The 20,085-nt window shown below is 37.7% G+C and overlaps 1 protein-coding gene across 47 annotated transcripts in view; it reads right to left on the minus strand.

The window, feature by feature from the left end:
- SLC38A9 (solute carrier family 38 member 9) overlaps window positions 1-20,085 on the minus strand; it is an 86,491-nt gene that overhangs the window by 42,198 nt on the left and 24,208 nt on the right. For 46 of the 47 annotated variants that reach the window (NR_146165.1, NR_047649.1, XR_007058583.1 and 43 more), the window contains 4 exons: window positions 4,521-4,653; window positions 1,716-1,837; window positions 1,515-1,578; window positions 1,186-1,279 (listed from right to left, as the gene is read on the minus strand). Coding sequence is in view for 43 of the 47 variants with exons in the window: in XM_047416799.1 (XP_047272755.1) it covers window positions 1,186-1,279; window positions 1,515-1,578; window positions 1,716-1,837; window positions 4,521-4,653 (413 nt within the window). In the remaining 4 variants the exon portion in view is untranslated. The remainder of the gene's footprint in view (window positions 1-1,185; window positions 1,280-1,514; window positions 1,579-1,715; window positions 1,838-4,520; window positions 4,654-20,085) is intronic. The other variant, NM_001282429.1, reaches the window with a different exon arrangement.

Raw genomic sequence — 20,085 nt, forward strand, 5'->3', positions numbered from 1 at the left:
GCACCTGTAGTCCCAGCTACCTGGGAGGCTGAGGTGGGAGAATCACCTGTGCCCGGGAAGTCCAGGCAGCAGTGAGCTGTGATAGCGCTGCTGCATTCCAGCCTGGGTGACAGTGAGATCCTGTCTCCAAAAAAAAGGAAAATAAAAGAAAAAACAGTTATAGAGAGAACTCTGTGGGGGCTCTGTTCCAATTTTAAATGAGATGCTGAATTAGATAAGACATGAACTTACTGTATACATTTAAAGAAGTCTTCCAAGTTCAGCCACAATTTGCCTTAGAAACCAGAGGCTAAAATTATCTCCTCTTACCATTTAGAAACCAGAATGAATCTTCTCTCAAGACTTTTTTATTTTTTATTTATTTTTTATTTTTTAAGATGAAGTATTGCTACAGTGCCAAGGCTGGCCCCAAACTCCTGGGCTAAAGTGATCTTCCCACCTATGCCTCCTGAGTTGCTAGGGCTACAGACACACACCACCAGGTCTGGCTTCTCAAGACTTTTAAACAAATACTTGCCCAGTGACTAATAGGAGATCTGGTTAACATAAAGAAGGAAGCTGCTTAGTAGGCACAGAAAAAAACTGGAGGCAAAGTCTGGCCTGTTGATTCATACTTGCTAAGATTTAATGAAATAATGCATGTTTGTTTAGGTCCTAGACTACTTTAAAACAACCTAAAAAAGATATTTCCCTGATCCAGAATTTGTAGATACGAGTAGAGGTAAGGTGTTCACACAACTTCAAATATTCATTACTAGGGAGTTGCTTACATTTTCATATTTTTCTAGTTATAATTTCTACTTTTAGCAGATTCTAACATTTAGATCTTTTGGTATGAATAGGTCAAAACAAGTCACCATTAACTGACAGGAAGCACAGAATTCTCAATTTAGTTTTGGCAAAGACATTATTTTATAAATATGAGTTTTTAAATGATTCTTATGAAGAAACTAGCACCAAAGTGAATGCACTCTGCAAATAACTCCCAGCTTCTCTGAATTTCAAAAGCAGCCACTAAATATTATTAGCAAATCAATTTAGCTGAAAGCGATGAATTACAGAAGTAAATCTTTAGGTACAAAGTAGACAGCTGACACACATGTAGCATATACACACTAGTGATCTGCCTCAAAGGGAAATGCTTATTAATACCCATAATCTATTGTCACTGTGTCAAATTCTTACACATCATAGTCCGTGATTTCACTACTCTGTAGCAGCAATAAAGTGTTAAAAGGCCCATCAGTATGATGACACACATTCCAGTAGTAAATCCAGCCTGTTTAAAAATAAAAGTATAAAACAGCATATATCATCATGTAAGCATAAATTCATATGCAATTATTTTACCCTAAACAATCATGATAAAAACTTGACAACTCATGAAAAACTAAATATAACCATCTATTTTCTTTAATGAATTTTATGTAGATTTATTAAAACCTCTGTTATAAAACTTACAATATAAAGAGAAAAACATTTAGGCAAAAAGTGTGCTGAAAAATTAGTATTACCTGTTTTATGCCCCAAGGAATGCTTAGTATAGATGTTCCCATCATGGTATTCCAAATCATAAAACTGAAAACACAGAGTAATAGCAGTAAAAAAATGGAGTTTCACTCTTCAAACATTTTAATTGAGACAAAAATTTAAAAAACCAGTAATTTTCATCCATATACAGTTTAAGTCATGCTCCAAAAAGCAGTTTCACTCACATGGTTACTAAACTGGTGTTTTTACCGTATCCTTCAGTGTAACTTTGAAGTTTATAAGCAGAGCCCAATGGACTATACACATAGCACTCTTCTGGAGCTGGAACTACATGGTCTGGGGCAATCTGGTAAAAAGGAAACATAGATAAATTTCAGAACCAGGAAATGCAAAATAGGATATTTGTTACACATCAGAACACCTGACTCTAGACACCTTTTTTTTTCTTTTGAACGGAGTCTCGCCCTGTCGCCCAGGCTGGAGTGCAGTGACGCGATCTCGGCTCACTGCAAGCGCCGCCTCCTGGGTTCACGCCATTCTCCTGCCTCAGCCTCCCGAGTAGCTGGGACTACAGGTGCCCACCACCACGCCTGGCTAATTTTTTGTATTTTTTTGTAGAGACGGGGTTTCACCATGTTAGCCAGGATGGTCTCGATCTCCTGACCATGTCATGATCCACCCGCCTCGGCCTCCCAAAGTGCTGGGATTACAGGCGTAAGCCACCACGCCTGGCCCTCTAGACACATTTTAACTATCATAAACAAGTACTATGAATCTCTGATTAGTGAATTAAAAAATGACTTTTCAAATATAGAAAAACTAACTAAAAAAGCAAGTTTTAAAAACCCAAAATAATTTTGGAATTTTCAGAAAACGAGTGTGGATGCAAGTACTATGCATCCCTGATTAGTGAATTTAAAAATTATTTTTCAAATATAGAAAATCTAACTAAAAAAGCAAGAGTTTAAAAATCCAAAATAGTTTTGGGATTTTCAGAAAACGAGTGTGGATGTATACACACATTCATTAAGAATGGTTATATCATTGTCAATTTTACATCACTGTTTATATATTTTGACTTCCTAGACTCATCTCAGTGTCAGTTAACAAATGGCATTCAACTTTGGTGCACATGCTGACTCTATTTCCAGGCAAACAATATACATGCAGGTATAAACTTGCTCATCTGGGATCTTGGAGGTTTGTTTCCAAGAGCAGAGCCTCTAGAAGGTCTCAACTAGACCCAGAGATACAGGATTATCTCTACTCCTCCAAGGGCTTAAGTAATTCCATTATGGAACTAAGACTTCGCCACAACTACTGATGTCAAGGCCTAAGGGGAAAAAGCCGAAAAAAAAATTGGGAAAAAAATTATCCTACCCAGAACATTTTGGAAATCCCTATTTTGGCCATACAAGAGGAAATCTTAATATTTATTTCACATAGCTATTGTTTAGGCTTAAATGAGATAGCTACATTCCAGTGATGCCCAATCACTGGTCCTTATTAAATGTTAATGAATGTTGGTTCTCTTCTTTTTATTAATAATACTAATTTCAAAATCCTGTTTTCTCCCAGAATGTTCTTATTTTCAGTTAAACTTGCAAGTTTCTGACTATCTCATATGCGGTAGTTTTTATAAACTACCAAATTACTTATATATATTTTTTATCCTAAAATAGTAATAGAGATTTTTAGAAGATCAAGGGTCAACAAACTCCGGCCCATAGGCCAAATCTGGTTTCAACCTGATTATTATACAGCCTCTTTCCTGAGAATGGTTTTTATAATTTTATAAATTTTATAATTTATAATTTTGATGATCATAAACAAAATGAAGAATATCATGTGACCTCAAAGTCTAAGACATTTAGTATCTGGCTCTTTGACTCCTGGTTTTGATCAATAAAAGAATAATGCTAAATAAGAAACTACTATATTTATGTGTACATATTTCAGTTTCCCATTCTTCTTTTTTTTTTTTTTTAAGAGATGGGGTCACATGGCCGGGCACAGTGGCTCACGCCTGTAATCCCAGCACTTTGGGAGCACAGTGGCTCACGCCTGTAATCCCAGCACCTCAGGGTGGGTGGGTCACGAGGTCAGGAGTTCAAGACCAGCCTGGCCAACATGGTGAAACCGTGTCTCTACTCAAAATACAAAAATGAGCCAGGTGTGGTGGCGCACACCTGTAACCCCAGCTACTCAGGAGGCTGAGGCAGGAGAATGGCTGGAACCCAGGAGGCAGAGGTTGTGGTGAGCCGAGATTGCGCCACTGCACTCCAGCCTGGGTGATAGAGCGACACTCCATCTCAAAAAAAAAGAGATGGGTCACACTCTTTTGCTCAGTCTGGGTGGGATGCAGTGGCACAATCACAGCTCACTGCATCCTCAAGGGATCCATCCTGGGCTCAAGGGATCCTCCTGTCTCAGCCTCTCAAGTAGCTGGAACTATAGGTGCGAGCCATCATGCTTGGCTAATTAAAAAAATTTTTTTTTGTAGAGACAGGGTTTCACCATCTTCTCCAGGCTGGTCTTGAACCCCTGGGCTCAAGTGATCCTCTTGCCTTGGCCTCCCAAAATGCTGAGATTACAGGAGTGAGTCACTGTGCTTGGCCAGTTTCCCATTCTTGTAGAAAATTTCTAAAAAAATATTTCCCTTACAGCTTCAAAGTTAAAATTGTCCACACTAAGCAGAACATGTTATTATTTGCTATTAGTCAATGGCCTAACTTGCCATTTCAAAAGTAATTTATCCTCCTCAGAGATTTGGGGAATGGGGATCAGGAGAATTTAATCCAAAAAAATCTCCAGGTTGTTGTCAACATAGAAACATTGTTTCAAATTTAGATAAGAATGAACTGGCCTGAGATGTAGGATGTGTGTTAATTACTATCTTTGACTTTGCATGATGCTGTCCTTGAAATACAGTCAGAAAGAAGTTCAATCACTGGGAGGTGCCCTGGCTTATATTGTTCACTGTTCATTTCAACTGAATTTTAGACTATTAGTAATGTTTTGTCTCTTACCAGTGCCTTGTCTGCAGGAGTGGTGAGCCGGCTGTAGTAATGAATTCTCTTGTTCATGGCAGAGGCATGGTCACTAACCCTCTGAATGACATGATTCACATTCACGATGTTTGTGGGCTCTATACAGAAAGGCCTACAAAGGGAATATACACTTGACAAAAAGTGTTCAGCCAAAAATTCTGGAAGTCAGCCTTTGAAGAAAATAACTTCTTATCCTCCATTAGTAATGGGATGCACAAAGGCAAGGCATTGACTTCTCACTTTTGGTGCAAACAGAAAATGTTACAAAAGAAGTATTATCCTATCCACAGAATAAAGCTTTTGTCTCATAACACTTTTACTTTAAGCACACTTTTTTTGTAATCTTCAGGAATTTAGCAACCGAGAAGACAAAACAGAAAGAACTTAAAACAGTTATTAAAAAGAAATACAGCAGCTATCAATTTCCAACAATGAAACTTAAGACAGCTTTGAATAGTCTCTCAAAAAAGCTTTTGGCACTAAATCAGAGAAATTATGGACTAAAATGTCCCTCTCCTGAAGAGTCTCTACTCCTTCCTTATGGGCCCAAGTTATTTCCTATGATAAACAGAATTCTTATTCCTTGGTTCATGTATTAAGGATTAGTGACCTCAACTATCAGATCCCTTATGAGACTTATCCAACTCAGTATAAAATGGAACATCATGACAATGGAGATATTTTGCCTCATTCTACTTTTTGCGGATTTTAGTAACATACCCTTTTATTTATATACATGCTTCCTTTCCACGTCTGCATCCTAATCAACTGCAGATTTTGGTGTTCAATCATCCTTTTCAGTCATCAACCTCTTCAGTTCCTTTCTGAAACTCCCTCATTTTCTTCTGAAGTTTCCAGTAATATACTATCCAAAATGAAAAGACCAGGCAGAGTTTTATCAAAAGACTGTATCCCTCTGCTGATTCTTAGGCTCCTTGAAATCATAAGTGACACTGTGCCCCAAATTGCACATAATTTGCCATTTCAGGCACAGATCCAAAGAAAGAAGAAAAAAAATCCAGATTTATCATTGGTTCCACTAACTCCTCTATACTTATGGTTCTGAAAGGAACTTAAAATGTAGTAACATATGGTAACCATTTCTGGAGATACTGTTAATCTAATCTTTTTTTTTTTTTTTTTTTTGAGACAGAGTCTCACTCTATCGCCTAGGCTGGAGTGCAGTGGTGCGATCTCGGCTCACTGCAACCTCCACCTCCTGAGTTCAAGCAATTTTCTGGCCTCAGCCTCCAGAGTAGCTGGGACTACAGGTGTGCACCACCATGCCTGACTAATTTTTGTATTTTTAGTAGAGACAGGATTTCACCATGTTGGCCAGGCTGGTCTCCAACTCCTGACCTCAGGTGATCCACCTGCCTTGGCCTCCCAAAGAGTTGGGATTACAGGCATAAGCTACCTCACCCAGCCGTTAATCTAATCTTGTGGGAAGTACTTGAAAAGCCAAGTGACTGAACATTTAATTTCTGCTATTTTTCTTATTAATTCTGTGATATTTGAGAAATGGTAGCAGAGGTGTTAAACTTAGTTTTATCTCTCTAGTTAGCATACAGAATCTTTGAATCTTTTACTATTTGTTCTCTACCGCAAAACCTAAATATGCTGGGTACTATATAGGTCAACTCAATGAATATGTAAATAGAGCACTTATAGAGCAAATATGTGGATATAGGGATCAATATGACATATTATATATACTAGTGCTGTGGTTTGAATATGTCCCCCAAAGTTTATGTGTTGGAAGAAAATCTCCAATTCAACAGTCCCAACAGTGGGACCTTTAAGAGGTGATTAGGTCATGAGGGCTCTGAGTTCACAAACAGATTAATGACGTTATCTTGGGAGCAGGTTAATATCATAGGAGTGGGATCCTGGTAAAAGAATGAGTTCAGTTCCCTTCCTTTCCCCTACCCTCTCTCACGTACTCTTTGGCCCTTCCACAATGTTGTGATAAGCAAGAAGTCCCTCCCTACATGTGGGCCCTTTGACCTTGGACTTCCCAGTCTCCACAACTATAAGAAATAAATCTCTGTTCTTTTAAAATTACCCAGTCTCAGGTATTCTGTTACAGCAGAATAAAAGGAACTAAGACAATAAGCATATTATTGTTAAGTGAATTAAGTGGTGTCAATATATTTCAAAGGGATATAATAAAAATGAATGGATCAGAAGCTGAAAAAGCAATCCCTACTTGTAAATTTGGTAGTCTGCTGTAACTACCAATTATCCCAAAGCATTATGATGTCCAATATAATTTGCATCTCCACTATGACACTCAGTGGTACTAAAAAGCAACATAAAAATATTTATGTCTGGCAGATGGTTTAATTATACCTGGGGTCACACTCTATAGTGCATTCTCTTTTTGCTTTGCAAAAATGATGCCCTACAAAATTCAAGAAAGAATGATAGCTTTAATACCAACATAAGGCAAAGATTGAAGCTAGTCATGGATTACCAAAAGAGACTGATAAATATCATACTGATAGAAAGAGATGTAGATGTTCTACTGCTAGCCTTTTACTTTAAAAATTCAATATTATTGGTTCCAACCACTAAGTTGGTTTGAGGCCTGCTTGCTGAAAAGCAGTCAGGAAGTGCTAAATTTCTTGGCTCCTGGTTTCTTACAGAAGTGTTAACTGTACCAGTTTAGTTGGCTTGACTACTCTGAGGGCAGAATGACTCTGAAAGTTTTTCTTTTCCAACAGTTTTCATCGAGATGCTGAGTGCCTGTTCAAACAAATATTTTGGAATCTTTTCAAAACAGATTCTCTTCAAAAAATATACAACTCAGCATATTTAACTGAATTATTAGAAACATATGCTTAAAGCTTCATTTGAGAAGAAAAAATATAACTATATTTTTAAATTGAACTTTAGTTGGATCTGAAAACACTTTTAAAATTAAACAATACTATACAGAGAACAATATTCAGAATAAGACTTTTGAAACTTGGGCTTTCTTTTTTTGAACATAGTTTCACATTACTGCTCCCTATCAATGTTACTTCTCATTTGAAATGTAGTTCAGCTGTGCCACACTAAAAATAAATAAGTCATATTTGTCTTACCTTATAAATATTTATGGTCATGCCACAGAAAAAATGCTTTTAATATTAAGCAAAATGTACAAAATATTTTAAAATATGAGTCAAACCTCATATTTTCATTTAATACATGTATAAACAGAGAAACCTTATTTCTACCTAACACCTTTTCTAGGTTCCACTCCTTAAATTCCTTAAAAATTTTTGGCTTATACATCTGTCTCCACCCTCCTACTGACCAGTTATGCTTCTCTGAAATTTAATAACAATGCCATCACTCTTAAGAAGGTCTGTACCCCAAATAAGGTACAAAACCAGGTACAACTGAATTCAGTATTTAGGGATATACAGACAATAAAACTATTATAAAGCGTAGGGAAATTATTATACAAAGTCAAGATAGTGGTCATCCCTAGGGAGGATGGAGGATGTGTTTGGTGAAGGACACATGGAGAACTTTTAGGTTACTGCTGTGTTTTGACCTTATGTTGCTTGGATGGGTGTTGGCTTTATTATTCTTTCTTTCTTACTTTCTTTTTGAGACAGGATTTTACTCTATTGCCTAGGCCAGAGTGCAGTGGCATTAACATGGCTTACTGCAGCCTCAGCCATCTGGGCTCAAGCAACTTTCCTGCCTCAGTCTCAGCCTCCCAAGTATCTGGGACCACAGGCGTACACCACCATGCCCGTCTAATTAAAAAAAATTTTTTTATAGAGACAGGGTCTCGCCATATTGCCCAGGCTGGTCTCAAACTTCTGGCACAAGCAATCCTCCTGTCTTGGCCTCCCAAAGTGTTGGGATTAAAGGCAAGAGTCACCATACTGGCCTATAAATTTCTTAAATTGTACATATACAATGCACTTCTTTGTACATGTGATATACCAAAGATAAGCCTTTAAAAATAGATTTTAAGTGGACACATCCTTTCAAAATTTAGTAGAGAGACTCAAAAATATTTTGTATCATACAGAAATGTATTGGTTATGTTGTGGCAAACTTAAACAAGCTACCTATTTTTCTTCTACAAGAAACAACTGCTCCGAATTTGAAGACTTTTTCTACGACGACACATAGGTGTCAATAGTATGCTACGTAGGTACACAGCAGATATTAAAAACAAAAACAACCCCATCCCACATACTTAATTTATCTCCCTTCAAGATAAAGATGGTATTTTAATCGTCTGAGAAAGTAGTTGCTTTAAAAAAAAAACATGTTACACAAAGAACATTCTGATAATAAATGTTTAGAAATGTTTCCATTGTTAGATGGTTTTATTGCTGAACATGTCTGTCACCAATAAAAACTCCCATCTGCAATTTCACACACATGGATTCAAAATTTTCTAAGATTTAAAAACTTCCAAATGAAGAATTTAAATGGTCTTTGAACCTGACATTAAACATGACAGAAAAATCAAAGTAATAATTATAATTCTAAAGCAAATTGCACTACCAGTGTCTAGGTATTTACTCCATGTAATGCAAGTATTAATACTAATATTTTAATTGAAAAGTGTGCAGAAGTGTAACAATGTTTAGAAATCAGTGAAATTAAATACTCAACATACTTCAAATGTGGAAATTTACAAACATTATAAAGTATCAAATAAAACATTAATATATAAAACATAAACATTAAAAAATAAAAACATAAACATTAAACAGTTATGATTCTAACGTAAAGTATTCAATATGACTGTATGCAATGCTTCTTTACCCTTTGTAAACTTCCACCCAGTGTGTCTTTCAAAATGACACCTCTCAAGTAATCAGTCCAGAAAGACTTCAGGACCTTCCTAAAGTGTTTAGTACTCCTCCAATGGAACTTTCAGACCAGCTAGGCAGCTCCTTCACTCTGTACAGAAGCTACTGAATTGTAGGTCTTTTTTTGTTTGTTTGTTTTGAGATAGGGTTCCATTGTGTCGCCCAGGCTAGAGTACCGTGGTGCGCTGATAGCTCGCAGCAGCAACAAGAGGCTCAAGTGATCCTCTTGCCTCAGCCTCCCAAGAAGCTAGGACTCCAGGTGTGCACCACCGTGCCCAGCTAATTAAAAAAAAAAATTTTTTTTTTTTTGGTAGAGATGGGGCTGTTATGTTGCCCAGGCTGATCTCAACTGATCCTCCTGCCTCTGTCTCCCAAAATGCTGGAATTACAGGTGTGAGCCAACATGCCTGCCCAAGAATTGTTCTGTCTATCAACTCTTCTCCTTCCCCCAACAGAGAAACTTGCCACCTTCTGAGGGGTCCCTCTAAATCAATACTTTTTTTTTCTTTATTGTGTGTGTGTGTGTGTGTGTGTGTGTGTGTGTGTGTAGTGTGTTGGGAGGGAGGGTAGTGGCTGGAACAATTGGGTGGTAAAGTAGAGCTAGGAGGGTGTCAGAAATGAAGGGGAAGGCAGAAAAGTAGAAGAGAGGAGAGCTTAGGGGACAGGCTAGAGAGAAAAACTCAGACTAGACAGAAAACCACAAAAGGTGAACAAGGTTACTGGTTTTTTTTTCTTTTTTTGAGACAGTCTTGTTCTGTCTTGCCCAGGATGGAGAGCAGTGGCACAATCTCAGCTCACTGCAGCCTCCACCTCCCGGGTTCAAGCAATTCTCCTGTCTCAGTCTCCTGAGTAGCTGGGACTATAGGCATGTGCCACCACACCCAGCTAATTTTGTATTTTTAGTAGAGACAAGGTTTCACTATGTTGGCCAGGCTGATCTCGAGCTCCTGACCTCAGGTGTGCCACCCGCCTTCACCTCCCAAAGTGCTGGGATTACAGGCATGAGCCACTGTGCCCAGCCAATTACTGGTTGTTTCTAAATTAACAGTATTAAATCAATGAAAACACTAGTATTTTGAGCTTAAAAAATAGCATGGAATACTAAATATACAAACTAGTACTGCAATCACTAAATGTAAGAATTGAATGATATTATGGAGGATGAAAATTCATCATGCAAATTTCAACAAAAAACATCACATGTAATTGTTGGATAAGACTGAAATGAACTTTTTTTTTTTTTTTTTTTTTTTTTTTTTGAGACAGGGTCTTGCTCTGTCACCCAGGTTGGAGTGTAGTGGCGGTATGATCATTGGCTCACTATTACCTTGAACTCCTGGGCTCAAGTAATCCTCCTGCCTCAGCCTCCCGAGTAGCTGGGACTACAGGCATGTGCCACATGCCTGATTAATTTTTTTAATTTTTTGTAGAGATGAGGTCTTGCTATATTGCCCAGGTTGGTCTTAACTCCTGGCCTCAAGTAATCCTCCTACCTTGGCCTCCCAAAATGTTGAGATTACAGGCATGAGCCACTGTGCCTGGCCTGGAGTAAACTTTGAATCAGTTTAAATTACTGTGTGACAAACTATTAAATAATAAAGACTATTACAATGTTAAAGTGAAAACAAAAAATTGACTATACTGCCAATAAATCAAATTTAAAGTTAATTTTATCAAGATTATGTCTTTCTAATAATTAAAAATTTCTATTATGTTTTATAGAGTATATAATATGTAAGTATAGAAGTATATGTACATAATTTGCAAATGAATATGTGCATGCACACACACATAAGCAGTCTCATTTTTTTAAGATTGTTATTTTTTTTTTAACTAAGTGGCATGGTGAAAAAGCTTTTGAAGAAAGTAAATGTTAATAAACACTTGGTTGAAGATTATGAGTTCTCTGTTTTAGAATTCCAAACTGTTACTTAGCTGAAAGAAAACAACTTCATCAACAACATATAGACAAAGAACTTGACCTGAAAATTAATTCTCCGGCCCATGTATTTTATTACAGATTCTGCTGAGAATAAATTTCAAAATTCTTTTCAATGCAATTTATGTTCTTAAATTTTGGTTTTAAAAAAATCCATTAATTTTTAAAAATTCTACTATGCTGAGAATCTCTTATTTCTATGTCTACAAAATGATCAGTAAAAGAAATGCAAGTTTTTAGTTTTTTGTTTTTTTTTTAATAGCAGCAACACTGGAATGAGGCTTAAAGAATTATATAAACAACAGAAACATTTTAACCAAGTTAAGATGCTTCCATTTTTCTCTAGGTTGATGTAAACAGTAACACCACCACCACCACTGCAACCACTCCATTCCATCTACTATCTAGAAAGAGCAGTTCCAAATGGGAAATGGTGAGTGACATTCCACAAAGGAAAATTAGGAATGTGGAAAAAATTCCCAAGTGGGAAAGTTTTCCAAGCAGCTTCTCCTTTTATCCACTTTATTAGGATGTCAAAATAAATCGCAAATTGTCTCAATCTACTTAAGTGCAATAAGTTAAGAGTATTATTAACTTAATATTTTGAAATAAAGAGCATGTCTTAATTATAAATAAAGAGTAACTGCAATGCCATGCCAGTTATTACTCTCCTCCTTACACAAACCCACCAGAACAATTTCTGGAAAATTAATAAAATTTCCAGTTTCATAACCCAATTCCCCATGGGGGAAATAAAAGTGGGGAATAAGAAAAATGCCAGGCTAGCATTTTAACTAAAATTTCCTATCCTTAAAAACTAGAAAGACAATGAAAGACAGTAAAGGTTTCAGTGTATATATCTATATATATATAGAGAGAGAGAGATACATTTTATTTTTAATACTGTACATAGATGTGATGCAAACGAAACACATCTACTCCTTAAACAGATCACCAAAGAAAAATAGACTCTTTCTTGTTCCTTTCCCATATCTTAATGCTATAGTTTGAGTGTGTTCCCTCCAAAATTAAGGCATTGCCAATGTGATGATATTAAGAGGTGGAGCCTTTAGGAGGTGATTAGGCCGGGAGGGGTCCCCCCTCATTAAGGCCCTTACAAAAGAGGCTTAGCATAGCATTTGGCTAGCTTGTTCTTCAGCTCTTCTGACATGGATGACACAGCAACAAGGCCCGTGTCAGATCAAATGCCAGTGCCTTGATCTCAGACTTCTCAGCTTCCAGATTGTGAGAAATAAATTTCTGTTCTTTATAAATTATCCAGTCTCAAGTATTCCTTACACAGCACCAAATGGACAAGGCACTTAAGGAAAGGATTCTATACATCAAGCCTTAGAAATCCTCATCATAGCTCTCAAGAAAGGCAGACAGACAAAGAGAAATTCTGCTTTACCACTGGAAAGACACTGTCAACAAATGGTTTACACAAACTGGTCATTCAAAAGATGATGGCTGTATTTTCAATCCAGATGGCAAATATTGTAGTAGCCTGATCAGAATCTATTGCTAGTCGCATTCTGCAGATCAATCCCAGAATAACAGAACAGATAAAGGCAACAGCTCAAAGTGAAACCTGCCCTGCCAACTGGCTCCTATCAACTAATTTTTATCCATAGGAAAGTTTTACAAACTAAATATGAGATATTTTAGGAAAAAAAGAAAAAAGTAGTGCTAGAAAGTATATGCTGAAATAAGAACTGTCACACATTGCTAGTAGAAGTATAAGTTGGCACAATCTTTCTAGAAAGCAATTTGCAATATATATTACGAACCTTAATTCTGTTCATACCCTTCATTATAATACTTATATCTTTGAGACTCTGTTAGAAAGAAATCAAAATATGATATAAAAATTATGCAGAAAGCTGCTAATAACCGCATTTAAAATAATTAAAAATGTAAACATTTTAATATTAAAACACTCTTAAATTATGTATATTTAAATTTAAGATGATATTTAGAAAGAATTCCTAATATGGAAGAGTGCTTGTAAAACAAATTTCTTCTTTTGGCATTTCAGTGAGTCTTAAGGACAATTTTTATCATACCACTTTTTACTACTGTTTGAAAGCCAGTACTTTCCCCTTATCTATCATTCTTAGCTTCAGTCTCTACCCCTATGGTTTATGGCAGTTAAAATCTTTGGATGACCTTGCCAAAGGACTGCAGGTTTGCTTCAGGGTTTAGGAGAGGCTGGAGACTGTTTTGCTGTTTTGTTGTCCAAAGAGCCATTTTGATCAGAACATTTTTTATTAGAACTGTGGGGGTAGACTGAAATTAAGGTGAACGAGCCTGACCTTTTTATTAACTTCCTCAGAAACAAGGCAAGAGGTATCCCTATGGGTGTCACAGCAGTACGAAGTACAAGTCCCTATGGTTGCTGACATTAGAGTCCTTCTGTGCAGACCAGGGGTCGGTACACTATGGCCTGATAAAACAAATCCAAGCCCATGTCCTGTTTTCATAAATGTCCTGTTTTTGTAAATAAAATTTTTACTGGAACACAGCCAGGCCCATGCACTTATGTTTTGTCTATGGCTACTCCCACTCCACAACGGCAAAGTTGAGTCCGTATGCCCACAAAGCCTAAAGTATTTACTAACGTGTCCTTTATAGAAAAAAATTTACCAACTCTTGTCCTAGACCATCTTAAGGCCCCCTTAAGGACTCAGATGTGGAAAAGAGTCTTCCACTCTCCTCCTTGACGGGCAAAGGAGATGAATGAGGGAGGAGCCTACATGCCCTTAACAGATCCATGCCAGGGAGCATCTGAATAGGTTTTTCCTTCAGGAAAATAGGTAATATTTATAACCAGATGTCCCTAGGTGTCATTAGGCTTAATCCCTTGCAAAATTTACCTCTCACATTTAAAAACAAAAGCCAAACAAAAAATCCTCAACCTCAGCCAAAACAACTACAATAAATGTTCTTGCACAGAGCAGCACCTGCACAGAAACCTTCCCAAGGCACCTGGTCATCAATATTACATATGGCCTCATTCCACTGCTGGTACAACCAGAACCTATAGCATAGTCACTCACAGGAGTATGCCACAGGATTCTTGGTAATGCTAGTACAGGATGAGTTCAATTTGTATTTTTCCTAATGAAAAATGAGTTCTAAATATATACATGTATAGGCTGGGTGTGGTGGCTCATGCTTGTGATCCCAACATGAGGACTGATTGAGGCCGGGAGTTCAAGAACAGCTTGGGGAACACAGCAAGGCCCTTTCTCTACAAAAAATAGAAAAAGCAGCCAGGCATCCTGACATGCACTTGTACTCTCAGCCTCCAGGGAGGCTGAGGCAGGAGGACTGCTTGAGCCCAGGAGTTCAAAGTTACAAGGTGCTATGATCGTGCCACTGCACTCCAGCATGGCATGAGACCATGCCTCAAAAACAGACGTGTGTGTGTTTATACACATAAAATTAAGTATTTAGCACCCCTTATTTTTTGCTAGGTATCCATCTCCCCCACTGGAGGGTGGAGCTGTGTTTCAGTAAAGCTGTGTTTGAGTAAAGTGTCTGGCAAACAGAAGGAACATAATGAATGTTTGCTGACAAAAGAATAGAAGAAGGAAGGAAGGCAGGCAGGCAGAGGAGGAAAAGAGGGAGGGAGGGAGGGAAGAAAGATGGCAGGGAGGTGGGGAAGAAGAGAAGAAGAGAGGGAAGGAGGCAGGCAGACAGACAACTAGCGAATAACTTGCAGAAGTAATGATGGCATGTAATATAAATTTAAAATGAAAAAGCAGCACAATAAATTACATATACTATGTGATCTCACCTAAAAACGTCATAGAAAAGAAGGCTAGGAGTAAATACAGTAAATATACCAAAAGGTTTTTTGGTTTGTTTTACAGATGAGGTCTCATGATGTTGTCCAGGTTGGAGTGCAGTGGCTATTCACAGGCACGATCATAGTGCACTGTGGACTCAAACTCCTCGGCTCAAGGAATCCTCTTGCCTTAGCCTCCTGAGTAGCTGAGACTACCAAGGTAATTTAAACAAAGTTTTAAGAAAATGAGTTTTTCATTTTGTATATACCATTTTTATCCTAAGTTATAGGAATGCCATATTTTCGGAATAACTTTGTTCTCATTAGAAATGTAGCACATTGTCTACATTTAAGATAATCAAGAAGTTATTGAAGAAAATGAAATCACCTATCAGAAATAACCACTGTTAACATTTTAGTGCATTTCCTAGACACATATATGTACACACATGAATGAAATTAGTTTCATTTGCTTTCAAACTTCTCATAAAGTAGAATAATACAATATATATTTTTCTGTCTGGCTTCTTTTGCCAACATTATCTTTGTGACATTCACCCATATTCTGTATGTAGCTACAGTCTGTTCATGTTCATAGCTGTATAACATTCCATTATATAAAAACACAACAATTTACTTATCCATTCCTGTGATGGGTATCTGGGTTTCTTTGGAGCTCTTATAAATCAATTCTAATTTATATTCTCTTACATGTCCCTTTGTGCAATGTGCATACATTTTTACTGATTATAAACGTGGTGTATACTCAATGGTAGCAGATAATTACAAACTCATTTCCAAAATGACTGTACTTATACTTACTCTAGTACTATATGAGCATTCCCACTGTTCCACATTCTAGTCAACATTCATTATTGTCACTGATTTCTTAATTTGGGTACTGTAATTACAGAATTTCTATTTGATTCTTTTTGAAAAAACATTTTCCACAAATTTATTTTTTTCATATTTATCTCTAGTCACTGCCAAATTCTCAGTCTTATTTTAATTTCCTTGAACATGTTAAAGACAGTTCTTTAAAAGTCTGTTCCTGATAACTCCATTATCTGGATCACCTGTAAGTCTCTTTCTATTGTGTATTGAGTTTCTTAATTTCCAATCATCTTGTCCTGGCTTCTCTTACACTTGGCTAGTTTTTAGCAAGTTCCTGACATTGTAAATAAAAAAACTGTATAAATAACTTGAAACCTAAAGTATTTTCTTTAGAAAGAGTTTATATTGGCTTTGGGAAGTCAATTTGAGACAGGAGCAATCCTAGATCACCTTAATCCAGTTTGGGGGATTGAGATGAGTTAAAGTTGGGCTTCAGTTCCTGAAAGGAGGCCATTCTATTTCAAATTCATTCACATTTCTAGGCTGTAGCCCTTTGGGCTTCCAACCTAAAGTTTACGTGAAGTCTCTCTTAGTGGGCCCTGGATTCCAAATTTTCTTCCTCTAGCCCTATAGGCTGGCAAAGACTCTGGTTTTTGTTGTTGTTGTTATTGTTTGTTTGTTTGCTTTTCTGAGATGGAGTCTCACTCTGTCGCCCAGGCTGGAGTGCAGCGGTGCAATCTCAGCTCACTGCAGTCTCTACCTCCTGGGTTCAAGCGATTCTCCTGCCTCAGCCTCCCGAGTAGCTGGGATTACAGGCGCCTGCCACCATGCCCAACTAATTTTTGTATTTTTAATAGAGACAGGGTTTCACCATGTTGGCCAGGCTAGTCTCGAACTCCTGACCTCAGATGATTCACCTGCCTTGGCCTTCCAAGGTGCTGGGATTACAGATGTGAGCCACCACGCCTGGCCAAAAGCTCTGTTTTAAGCCTCTCAGCTAATAAACTGGAATTGGCAGATATTCTTGAGGAAATGCTGGGCTCTCCTTTCTGGCTTTGTCTTCTTCCTGATTTAGACCTCGGTATTCTACATTGTCTTATTAGTTGTCCTATGTCTTCAAGCATATTTTTAAAAACATTTTGTCAGCTTTTCTAGTTATTCTCAACAACTTGGTCAGCCCAAATTCCTTAATCTCTCAATTCACAGATTGATGACTGTACAGCCATCACCATAATCCATTTTAGAACATTTTTACCATCCCAAAAGAAGTCCCAGACCCCATTTTCCCCTTTCCCCAGCCCCTGGAAACCATTAATCTACTTTCTGTTTCTATGGCTTTACCGAATCTAGAAAGTTTATATAAATGGAATCATACAATATGTAGTCTTTTTTGTGTGGTTTCTTTCACACAGCATAATGTCTTCAAGGTTGATACATATTGTTGTTCATCAGTTGATGGACATTTGAGTTGTTTCCACTTTGACCATCATGAATGTTAGGAACATTTGTTTACAAGTATTTGTGTAGACATATGTTTTTAATTCTCTGGATAGATACCTAGAACTAGAATTGCTAGGTCATATGATAGCTCTGTATTTAACATTTGAGGAGCTATCAAACTGTTTTCAAAAATGGCTGTACATTTTTTTTTTAACTTTTAAGTTCAGGGTTACACGTGCAGGATGTGCCTATGTACATAGGCAAACATGTGTGATGGGGGTTTGTTGTACAGATTATTTCATCACCCAGGCATTAAGCCTAGTATCCATCAGTTATTTTTCCTCATCCTCTCCCTCCTCCCACCCTCCACCTTCCAGTAAGCCCCAGTGTGTGTTGTTCCCCTCTATGTGTCCATGGTGTTCTTAATATTTAGCTCCCACTTAAAAGTGAGTACATGTGGTATTTGGTTTTCTGTTCCTCTGTCAGTTTGCTAAGGATAACGGCCTCTAGCTTCATCCATGTCCCTGCAAAAGACATGATCTCATTCTTTTTTATGGCTGCACAGCATTGAATGGTGTATGCATTTTCTTTATCCAGTCTATCATTGATGGGCCTTTTGGTTGATTCCATGTCTTTGCTATTGTAAATACTGTTGCAGTGAACGTATGTGTACATGTATCTTTATAATATAACTATTTATATTCCTTTGGGTATATACCCAGTAATGGGATTGCTGGGTCGAATGGTATTTCTGTCTTTAAGTCTTTGAGGAATCACCACACTATCTTCCATAATGGCTCAACTAATTTACACTCCCACCAACAGTGTATAAGCCTTCCTTTTTCTCCAGAACCTCACCAGCATCTGTTACTTTTTAACTTTTTAATAATAACCATTCTGACTGGTGTGAGATGGTATTTCATTGTGGTTTTGATTTGCATTTCTCTAATGATCAGTGATATTGAGCTTTTTTTATATGCTTGTTGGCTGCATATATGTCTTCAGAAGTGTCTGCCTATTCATTTCTTTGCCCACTTTTTAATGGGGTTGTTTTTTCCTGTGAATGTGTTTAACTTCCTTATAGATGCTGGATATTAGACCTTTGTCAGATACATAGTTCGCAAAAATTTTCTTCCACTCTGTAGGTTGTCTGTTTACTCCATTGATAGTTTCTTTTGCCGTGCAGAAGCTCTTTAGTTTAATTAGATCCCATTTGTCAATTTTTCCTTTTTTGCAATTTTTTTGGCATCTTCATCATGAAATCTTTGCCTGTGCCTGTGTCCTGAAAGGTACTGCCTAGGTTGTCTTCCAGGGTTTTTATAGTTTTAGGTTTTATATTTAAGTCTTTAATCCATCTTGAGTTAATTTTTGTATATGGTTAAGGAAAAGGTCCAGTTTCAATTTTCTGTAAATGGCTACTCAGTTATCCCAGCAGCATTTATTCAATAGGGAATATTTCCCCATTGCTTGTTTTTGTCAGGTTTGTTGAAGATCAGATAGTTGTAGGTGTTCGGTCTTATTTCTGGGTTCTCTATCCTGTTCCATTGGTCTGTGGGTCTGTTCTTGTACCAGTACCATGCTGTTTTGGTTACTGTACTCCTGTAATATAATTTGAAGTTGGATAGCATGATGCCTCCAGCTTTGTTTTTTTTTTTTTTTTTTTTTTTTTGCTTAAGATTGCCTTGGCTATTCAGGCTCTTTTATGGCTCCATATGTATTTTTAAAAGTTTTTTCTAGGCCGGGCGCGGTGGCTCACGCCTGTAATCCCAGCACTTTGGGAGGCCGAGGCGGGCGGATCACGAGGTCAGGAGATCGAGACCACGGTGAAACCCCGTCTCTACTAAAAATACAAAAAATTAGCCGGGCGCAGTGGCGGGCGCCTGTGGTCCCAGCTACTCGGGAGGCTGAGGCAGGAGAATGGCGTGAACCCGGAAGGCGGAGCTTGCAGTGAGCGGAGATCGCGCCACAGCACTCCCGCCTGGGCGACAGAACGAGACTCCGTCTCAAAAAAAAAAAAAAAAAAAAAAAAAGTTTTTTCTAGTTCTGTGAAGAATGTCAATGGTAGTTTAATGGAAATAGCATTGAATCTATAAATTGCTTAGGGCAGTATGGCCATTTTAATGATATTGATTCTTCCTATCTATGAGCATATGAATGCTTTTCCATTTGTCTGTGTCATCTCTGATTTCTTTGAGCAGCAGTTTGTAGTTCTCCTTGTAGAGATCTTTCACTTCCCTAATTAGCTGTATTCCTAGTATTTTATTTTTTTATTATGTATTTATGTATTTATTTATTTTGAGACAGAGTCTCACTGTCGCCCAGGCTGGAGTGCAGTGGCGTGATCTCAGCTCACTGCAACCTCCGCCTCTTGGGTTCAAGAGATTCTCTGGCCTCAGCCTCCCGAGTGCTGGGACTATAGGTGCGTGTCACCATGTCCGGCTAATTTTTTGTATTTTTAGTAGAGACAGTGTTTCACTGTGTTAGCCAGGATGGTCTCAATCTCCTGACCTCATGATCCGCCCGCCTTGGCCTCCCAAAGTGTTGGGATTACAGGTGTGAGCCACTGCACCCGGCCGGTATTTTAGTTTTTTGTAGCAATTGTGAATGGGAGTTCATTCGAGATTTGGCTCTCGGCTTGACTGTTGTTGGTGTATAGGAATGCTAGCAATTTTTGCACATTGATTTTGTATCCTGAGACTTCACTGA

This window comes from Homo sapiens, chromosome 5, assembly GCF_000001405.40.
Source record: "Homo sapiens chromosome 5, GRCh38.p14 Primary Assembly".
Taxonomy (NCBI): Eukaryota; Metazoa; Chordata; class Mammalia; order Primates; family Hominidae; genus Homo; species Homo sapiens.